The 10,167-nt window shown below is 43.8% G+C and overlaps 1 annotated feature.

Moving 5' to 3' along the window:
* Nucleotides 9,413-9,913: an enhancer, noted in NCBI's record as "H3K27ac hESC enhancer chr2:140749968-140750468 (GRCh37/hg19 assembly coordinates)". NCBI's record gives its function as "activates a minimal SCP1, AML or CMV promoter by ChIP-STARR-seq in naive H9 embryonic stem cells {active_cell/tissue: H9 hESC(naive)}" and the evidence as "EXISTENCE:reporter gene assay evidence [ECO:0000049][PMID:30033119]".

A 10,167-nucleotide genomic window follows, 5' to 3' on the forward strand; every position in this document is an offset into this window, starting at 1 on the left:
CAGAATAAAATGTACCGTTAACCCTCCTTATTTGCAGGGGGTATGTTCCAAGACTCCCAGGGGGTGCCTGAAACTACGTATAGTCCTGAATCTTATATATAGAGTACTATAATTTTTCTTTTATTTGTATATACATACCTATGATAAATTTTAATTTATAAATTGAGCACAGTAAGACATTAACATTAACAATAAAATAGAATAATTGTAACTATAATAAAGTTATGCATATTCTCTCTCTCTCTTTAATACTATGTTGTACAATACTCACCTAGTATTTTCAGACTAGTTGACTTTGAGTAATGAAAACAGAGAAAGTGAAATTGCTGCTAAGGAGTGATTGCTGCAGTGTCTAAATTCAAAAAATTAAAATATGAATAAAATGAAAAACGGCAATAAATTTAAAAAGGAAGTAAAATTACAAGAATTTGTGGCTAATAGGTTAAGCGTATTTTATGTTGATACACACTCATACACAAACATACATAGTTACATGTACTCACACAGATCTATAAATGTCTACACATAAGCATTGGATATCTGAGAGGTTTTTTTAATTTTTAAAATTTTATTTTTATTTCAGGAGTACATGTGCAGATTGGTTATATAGATACATTGTGTAATGCAGGTGTTTGGTATATGGATTATTTCACCACCCAGGTAATAAGCATAGAACCTGATAGATAGTTTTTTGATCCTCACCCTCCCCCAACCCTCTGCCCTCAAGTAGGTCCAGTGTCTATTGTGCCATTTCTTGTGTCCATCTGTACTTAATGTTTAGCTCCCACTTATAAGTGAGACAATGTGGTAATTGGTTTTCTATTCCTGCATTAGTTAGCTTAGGATAATTGTCTTTGGCTGCATTCATGTTGTTTAGGAGGACATGTTCTCATTCTTTTTTATGGCTGCATAGTATCCCATGGTGTTTGTGTACCACGTTTTCTTTATCCAGTCTACTATTGTTGGGCATCTAGATTGACTGCATGTCTTTGCTATTGTGATTAATGCTGTAATGAACATATGCATGCATGTGTCTTTATGTAGAATGACTTATATTCCTTTGGGTATATGCTCAATACTGAGATTGCTGGGTTGAATTATAGTTCTTCAAGTTCTTTGAGAAATTGTCAAACTGCTTTCCACAGTGGCTGAACTGATTCACATTACCACCACTAATGTATAAGTATTCTCTTTTCTCCTCCAGCTGGCCAGCATCTGTTATATTTTGACTTATTGAGAGTAGCCACTTTGAGTGGTGTGAGTTGGTAGATTATTGTGGTTTAATTTGCCCTTCTCTAATGATTAGCAATGTTGAACATTTTTCTATTTTTGTTGGCCGCAAATATATTTTCTATTGAAAAGTGTCTGTCCATGTCCTTTGCCAGCTTTTTAATGGCATTGTTTTTTGCTTATAAATTTGTTTAAGTTCCTTATACATGCTGAATAGTAGACCTTTGTCAGATGCATAGTCTTTAAGTGTTTTCTCCTATTCTGTGGGTTGGTTATTAACTCTCTGTATTAGTCTATTTTCATACTGCTATAAAAATCGGAGACAGGGCAATTTATAAAGAAAAGAGGTTTAATTTGCTCCTCGTGGTTCTGCAGGCTATAAAGGAATCATAGAAGCTTCTGCTGCTGGGGAGACCTCAGGAAACTTACAATCATGGGGGGAGATGAACAAAAAGCAGGCACATCTTCCATGGCTGGAGCAGAAGTTAGGTAGGGCAGGGGTGGTGCTAAACACCTTTAAACAACTGGATCTCATGATAACTCACTATCGTGACAAGAACACCAAAAGGGATGGTGCTGAATCATTCATGAGAAGCCAACCCTGTGATCCAATCACCTCCCAGCAGGCCTCACCTACAGCATTGAGGATTATAGTCAACGTGATATTTGTTCAAGGACACAGATCCAAACCATTTCACTCTGTTGATAGTTTTCTTTGCTCTACAGAAGCTCTTTAATTTAATGAGGTCCCATTTGTCAATTTTTGTTTTTGTTGCAATTGCTTTTGTTGCAATTGCTTTTGTCCTCTTTGTCATAAAATCTTTGCTGGAGCCTATGTCCAGAATGGTATCAATATTTCCTACATTAGCTTGCAAGGTTTCTATATTTTTAGGTTTTACATTTAAGTCTTTAATCCATCTTGAGTAGATTTTTCTATATGGTATAAGGAAGGGGTCCAGTTTCATTCTTCTGAGTATGGCTACTCAGCTATCCCAGCACCATTTCTTGAATAGGGAGTCCTTTCCTTACTGCTTGTTTTTGCGAAATATCAAATGATTGTTAGTGTGTGGCTTTACTTCTGGACCAGGAATAACATTGCATCTGGAGATTGCTTTGGGCAATATGGGCATTTTAACAATATTGATTCTTCCAGTCTATGAGCATGGAATGTTTTTCCATTTGTTTGTGTCATCTCTAATCTCTTTGAAGAGTGTTTTGTAATTCTCATTGTAGAGACCTTTCACCTCCCTGGTTAGCTGTATTGCTAGGTATTTTATTTATTTATTTTTTGTAACTGTAGTGAATAGAACAGCATTCTTGATTTGGCACTCAGCTTGGATAGTTCTGTTTATGTGATAACTCACTTGCATTAATTTGCGTATGCTAAACCAACCTTGCATCCCTCTGGGATAACCCTACTTGATTATAGTGGATCAGCTTCTTCATGTGTGGCTCAGATTGGTTTGCTAGTATTTTGTTGAGGATTTTTGTATCTATGATCCTGAAGGATATTGGCCTGAAGTGTTCTCTTTTGTTGTGTCATTTTGTTGTGTTTTGGTATCAGAATGATGTTGGCCTCATAGAACAAGATAGGGTGGAGCCCCTTCTCCTCAATTTTTTGGAATGGTTTCAGCAGGAATGGTACCAGCTCTTCTTTACATCTGGTAGAATTCGGTTGTGAATCCATCTGGTTTTGGGCTTTGGTTGATAGGCTTTTTGTTACTGATTCCATTTCAGAACTCATTATTAGTCTGTTCAGGGTTGGAATTTCTTCCTGATTCAGTCTTGGGACTTTTTTTTTTTTTTCTTATAGGAATGGGTCCATTTCTTTTGGGTTCCCCAGTTTGTGTGTATATAGTTATTCATAATAGTCTCTGATGGTTCTTTGTGTTTCTGTGAAGTCAGCAGTAACATACCCTTTGTCATTTTTGATTGTGTCAACTAGGGTCTTCTCTTTTTTCTTTTTTTTTTCCTTTATTAGTCTAGCTGGCAGTCTGGCAGTCTATCTATCTTTCAAAGGACCAACTTCTAGTTTCATTGATATCTTGTACGGCCCCTCACATCTCAGTTTCCTTCAGTTTAGCTCTGATCTTTGTTATTTGTTGTCTTCTGTTAGCTTTGGGGTTGGTTTGCTCTTGTTTTTCTAGTCCCTCAAAATGTGATGGTTAGGCTGTTAATTTGAGACCTTTCTAACTTTTTGATGTGGGTGTTTAACACTATTAACTTTTCTCTTAAAACTACTTTAGCTGTGTCCCAGAGGTTCTGGTATGTTTTATCTCTGTCCTCATTAGTTTCAAATAAGTCTTGATTTTTGCCTTAATTTCATTCTTTACTCAAAAGTCATTCAAGAGCAGATTGTTTAATTTCTTTTTTTTATTTTATTATTATTATACTTTAAGTTTTAGGGTACATGTGCACAATGTGCAGGTTAGTTACATATGTATACATGTGCCATGCTGGTGTGCTGCACCCATTAACTCGTTATTCAGCATTAGGTATATCTCCTAAAGCTATCCCTCCCCCCTCCCCGTATACCTCACAACAGTCCCCAGAGTGTGATGTTCCCCTTCCTGTGTCCATGTGTTCTCATTGTTCAATTCCCACCTATGAGTGAGAATATGCGGTGTTTGGTTTTTTGTTCTTGCGATAGTTTACTGAGAATGATGATTTCCAATTTCATCCATGTCCCTACAAAGGACATGAATTCATCATTTTTTATGGCTGTATAGTATTCCATGGTGTATATGTGCCACATTTTCTTAATCCATTCTATCATTGTTGGACATCTGGGTTGGTTCCAAGTCTGCTATTGTGAATAGTGCCGCAATAAACATACGTGTGCATGTGTCTTTATAGCAGCATGATTTATAGTCCTTTGGGTATATACCCAGTAATGGGATGGCTGGGTCAAATGGTATTTCTAGTTCTAGATCCCTGAGGAATCGCCACACTGACTTCCACAAGGGTTGAACTAGTTTACAGTCCCACCAACAGTGTAACAGTGTTCCTATTTCTCCACATCCTCTCCAGCACCTGTTGTTTCCTGACTTTTTAATGATTGCCATTCTAACTGGTGTGAGATGGTATCTCATTGTGGTTTTGATTTGCATTTCTCTGATGGCCAGTGATGGTGAGCATTTTTTCATGTGTTTTTTGGCTGCATAAATGTCTTCTGATTGTTTAATTTCTGTGTGATTGTATGGTTTTGATAAATCTTCTTAGTATTGATTTCTATTTTTATCATGCTGTGGTCTGACAGTGTGATTGGTATGATTTTGTCTTTTTTTTAAATTTCCTGAGAATTGTTTTATGAACAATCCTGTGGCTGATTTTAGCCAGTGTGCCATGTGCAGATGAGAAGAATGTATATTCTGTTGTTTTTGGATGGAGAGTTTTGTATATGTCTGTTAGGTGCATTTGTTCAAGTGTCAAGTTCAGTTCCTGAATATCTTTGTTAGTTTTCTGCTTTGATGATCTGTCTAATACTGTCAGTGGGGTGTCGAAGTTTTCCATTATTATTATATGGTTATCTCTTCTCTTTGCAGGACTCTAAGAATCTGTTTTATTAATCTGTGTGCTCCTGTGTTGGTGCATATATATTTAGGATAGTTAAGTCCTCTTGTTGAGTTGAGCCCTTTACCATTATGTAATGTCCTTTGTCTTTTTCATTATTGTTGGTTTAAAGTCTGTTTTGTCTGAAATTAGAATGTTTCTGCCTTTCTATGTTTTCCATTTGCTTAGCTGATTTTTCTCCTTCCCTTTACTTTGAGCCTATGTGTGTCACTGCATGTGAGATAGAACTCTTGAAGACAGTGTAGAGTTTGGTTTTGCTTCTTTATCCAACTTGCCACTCTGGGGCATTTAATTGGGGGATTTAGTTCATTTGCATTCAAGGTTTTTATTGATATGCGCAAATTTTATCCTTTCATCTCGTCGTTAGCTGGTTGTTATGCAGACTTGATCATGTAGTTGCTTTATAGTGTCAATGGTCTATGTACTTAAGTGTGTTTTTGCGGGGGCTGGTAATAGTCTTTCATTTCCATATTTAGCACTCCCTGAAAGATCTCTTGTAAGGCAGGTCTAGTGGTAAAAATTTCCCTTAGCATTTGCTTGTCTAAAAAGGAGCTTATTTCTACTTAGCTTATTAAGCTTAGTTTGGCTGGATATGAAATTCTTTGTTAGAGTTTATTTTCTTTAAGAATGCTGAATTTAGACCCAATATCTTCCAACTTGTATGGTTTCTGCTGAAAGGTCCACTGATAGACCGATAAGTTTTCCTTTTGTAGATGAGCTACCCTTTCTCTCTTGCTACTTTTTTTCTTTTCTTTTCTTTTCCTTTCTTTTCTTTCTTTCTTTCCTTTTATTTTTCTTTTTTTTTTTTGAGGCAGGATTTCACTCTGTTACCCAGGTTGGAGTACAGTGGTATGCTCAGTGCTCACTGAAGCCTCAACCTCTCAGGCTCAAGTGATCCTCCCACCTCAGCCTCCTGAGTAGCTGGGACTACAGGTGTATGCCACTATACCTGCCTAATTTTTGTAGAGATGGGGTTTATCTATGTTGCCCAGGCTGGTCCTGAACTCCTGGACTCAATAGATCTGCCTCCCTTGACCTCTCAAAGTGTTGGGATTACAGGCATGAGACCAGGATGCTCAGCCAATATTTTTTCTTTCATGTCAACCTTAGAGAATCTGATGACTATGTGTTATAAGGATTGTCATTTTGTATAATATCTGGCGGAGATTCTCTGCAATTTCTAATTTGAATATCGGTCTCTATAATGATGTTGGGGCAATTTTTTTGGATGTTATCCTCAAATACGTGTTCCAACTTGCTTGTTCTCTCCTTCCTTTTCAGGGATGCAAATGAGTCATAGATTTGGTTTCTTTACATAATCACATATTTCTCAGAGGTTTTGTTCATTTTTTTTTTTAAATTATTTTTCCTTTATTTTTGTCTGAGTGAGTTAATGCAGAGAACCAGTCTTTGATCTCTGAGTTTATTAACTCAGCTTGGTCTAGTCTACTGTTAATACTTTCAACTGAATTATAAGGTTCTTGTTGTGTGTTTTTCACTTCTATCCTATTAATTTTATTTTATATTAAAATGGGGCATTTTGTCTTTCTGCTCCTGTATTGTTGTATTGTAATCCTTGATTGGGTTTCAACAATCTCCTGAATCTTAATAGCCTTCTTTCCCATCCATATTCTGAATTCTATTTTTGTAATTTCAACCATTTAAGTTTTTGCTGAGGAACTAGTGTAATCCTTTGGAGGAAAGAAGACACTCTGACTTTTTAAATTGCCAAAATTCTTGTGCTAGTTCTTTCTCATCTGTGGTGGGCCGATGTTCCTTAAACTGTAGCACAATTTGAGTATAGTCAGTTGACTTTGTTTCTGGATGCTTTCAAAGGGCCAAGCCTTTGTGCAAGGTCTTTATTTGTAGGTGAACTTTTGTCTTTGGTTTCATGGGGTGGGGGTATGTTAGCAAAGTATTTTTGGTGTTAAAGTTTGGACTGTGATCCAGTAGATGGTGCTTAAACATAATGGCCAGTAGGTAAGCTTTTGCTCAGCCATGTGGCTCCTCTGTATTTCCCGTTTGCAGCTGTGCTCTTGTGTCCGGAAATTGGTGGGTTCTTGGTCTCACTGACTTCAAGAATGAAGCCACGGACCCTCACGGTGAGTGTTACAGTTCTTAAAGGCGGCGTGTCCTGAATTTGTTCCTTCTGATGTTCGGATGTGTTCGGAGTTTCTTCCTTCTGGTGGGTTCGTGGTCTCGCTGGCTCAAGAGTGAAGCTGCGGACCTTCGCATTGAGTGTTACAGCTCTTAAGGCTCCTCTGGAGTTGTTCGTTTCTCCCGGTAGGTTCGTGGTCTCGTTGGCTTCAGGAGTGAAGCTGCAGACCTTCGCAGTGAGTGTTACAGCTCATAAAGGTAGTGTGGACCCAAAGAGTGAGCAGCAGCAAGATTTATTGCAAAGAGTGAAAGAACAAAGCTTCCACAGTGTGGAAGGGGACCTCAGCGGGTTGCCACTGCTAGCTGGGGCAGCCTGCTTTTATTCTCTTATTTGCCCCCCTCCCCCCGCCCGTCCCCCCCCGCACCCACATCCTGCTAATTGGTAGAGCCCAGTGGTCTGTTTTGACAGGGCGCTGATTGGTGCGTTTACAATCCCTGAGCTAGACACAAAGGTTCTCCACCTCCCCACTAGATTAGCTAGATTAGTTAGATACACAGTGTCCACACAAAGGTTCTCCAAGTCCCCACCAGAGTAGCTAGATACAGAGTGTCGATTGGTGTCTTCACAAACCCTGAGCTAGACACAAGGTGCTGATTGGTGTATTTACAAACCTTGAGCTAGATACAGAGTGCCGATTGGTGTATTTACAATCCCTTAGCTAGACATAAAGGTTCTCCACGTCCCCACCAGACTCTCTCACTGGGGTTGCAGGTGGAGCTGCCTGCCAATCCCGTGCTGTGTGCCCACACTCCTCAGGCCTTGGGTGGTCGATGGGACTGGGCACTGTGAAGCAGGGGGCAGCGCTCGTTGGGAAGGCTCGGGCTGCACAGGAGCCCACGGAGGCGGGGGGAGGGGGGAGGCTCAGGCATGGCGGGCTGCAGGTCCCCAGTCCTGCCCCATGGGAAAGCAGCTAAGGCCCGGCGATAAATCGAGCGCAGTGCCGGTGGGCCGGCATGCTGGGGGACCCAGCACACCCTCCGCAGCCGCTGGCCCGGGTGCTAAGCTCCTCATTGCCCGGGGCCAGCAGGGCCAGCCGGCCGCTCCCAGGGCGGGGTCCGCCGAGCCCACGCCCACCGGAACTCGCCCTGGCCCGCAAGCACCGCGCGCAGTCCCGGTTCCTGCCCGCGCCTCTCCCTCCACACCTCCTTGCAAGCTGAGGGAGCCGGCTCTGGCCTTGGCCAGCCCAGAAAGGGGCTGCCATAGTGCAGCGGAGGGCTGAAGGGCTCCTCAAGTGCCGTCAAAGTGGGAGCCCAGTCAGAGGAGGTGCCGAAAGCGAGCGAGGGCTGTGAGGACTGCCAGCACAGTGTCACCTCTCACTCTCTCTCAGTGCTGTGAGAGTATGGGTTCCTCTCCCACTTGAGTGCTGGCTACAGAACTTGGCTTCGCACTGCTGGGCTGTGCACCACGGCCCTAAGGTGAGCTCAGGCTTTATGTTCCCTCCCCAGCTTGGGGGCAGCAGGGGCAGAGACCTTAGCAGGGGAAATGGCAGAGGGCCTTTCACTTGTCTCTGTGGCTCCACCTCAGAAATGCAGAGCTGCCACCAATCAGAGTGATTGACCTGTGGTGGGACAGCTGCACTGTGGGCCCAAGCCAGGGGCCCCTGTCTGGTAATGAGCAGGGTTTGCCAGAGGCTCACGGGGAAGACAGATTGGGCTCTTCTCCTTAGGGCAGCTTTGGTGTGCTGGAGGTGTGAGGAAAGCACTCGGGTTCTTTGTTCCTTCCCTAGGTACCGGCAGCAAGGACAGTACCACTGTGCTGGCAGTGGCAGAGGGGCTTTCAGTTGCCTCTTGGAGCTCCACTCCAGAGACATACAGAGTTGTTCCAATGGGAATGTTCAGGCAGGGATAGGGCAGCGTGTTGTGGGCCTGAGCTGTGGGCCCGAGCTGTGGGCCCCGCTTGATGAAGAGCAGGGAATCAGGGGCTCATAGAAAGACTGTGCTCCTCTTCATATGGTGACTATCATGTGCTGGAGGTGTGACTAAAGTCCTCGGGCTCTTCGTTCCTTCTTCAGTTAGAGGGCAGCAAGAGCAGAATAGCCACAGTGGCAGTGGCAGAGGAGCTGTTACCTCTGGGAGCTCCACCCCAGGCAAACAGAGCCACTACCAGTGGGAATGCTCAGTTGGGGGTGGGGTGGCTGCTCTGCACTCCCAACCTGGGGATCTGCTTAGTGAGGAGGAGGGGGTGGGGGCTCACCGGAACAGAGACTGGGCTCCTCCTCATATGGTGGCTGTGGCATGCTGGATATGCTAGCAACATGACCAGGCCCTTTGTTCCTTCACCAGCTGGAGGGCAGTAAGGGCAGTACCGCTGCAGCCGCAATGAGAGAGGGGCTGTGCGTTGTCTACAGAATTCCCTCCCCAGAGAAACTCAGAGCTGCCACCTACTGAAATGTTCAGGTGAGTGCAGCGTGGTTGTAATGGGGGCCCAGGTTGAGAAGTCCTGCCCAGTGAGAAGTAACACTGGCAGACATCAATGTGGAAAACAGTCTGAGCGCTTTTCTGTAAGGCTGCTTCACTGTTGGAGACCTGTGTCCGTCCCCAATCTCTTTGCTCCCTTTCGAGGTCGAGGGCAGCAGGGGCAGGAATTGCGGACCAGCAAAAATGGTGGCTTGCCTGCTGCTGCTGGGAGCTCCATTCTAAGGAAGTGCAGGGCCGCAGAACTGCTACTGGCCTGAGAACCCTGTTGAGGTTCTCAGGGGCTAGGGTTTTCAGTGGCTGGGGTTCCAGGTGGGGAGGCCTTGTCTAGTAAGGAGTAGCGGGAGCTGAGACCTGCATGGAAAACAGCCTGGCCACTCTTCTGTAAGGCAGTTGCACTGTGCTGGAGGCCTGTGTTAGTCCTCAATCTTTTTGCTTCCTTCCGAGCATGAGGGCTGCAGGGGTGGGAGCTGTGGAGCAGGAACAATGGTGGCCTGCATGCTACTGCTGGGAGCTCTGTCCCAGGGAAGGGCAGGGCTGCTACCTGTTAGAGAGGTCAGGTGGGGCTGGGTTGGCCAAGCTAGGGTCCCAGGCCAATGGGCCCTGTCTGGCAAAGTGCAGTGGAAGTGAGGTTTGCAGTCTGTCTGCTCCTCAGCCCCATGGATATAGCCCCTATCCTGGGGTTGTGCGAGGGAGCCTGGCCTTCCCTGTTTTCAGAGCTACAGCAGCCACTGGTGCTATGGTGGCCCACGGGTCCAAGGCCCCAGGACCCCACGTGTGCTTGAGTGGTGG

The sequence above is a fragment of the Homo sapiens genome, chromosome 2 (genome assembly GCF_000001405.40).
Source record: "Homo sapiens chromosome 2, GRCh38.p14 Primary Assembly".
NCBI classification, from domain to species: domain Eukaryota; kingdom Metazoa; phylum Chordata; class Mammalia; order Primates; family Hominidae; genus Homo; species Homo sapiens.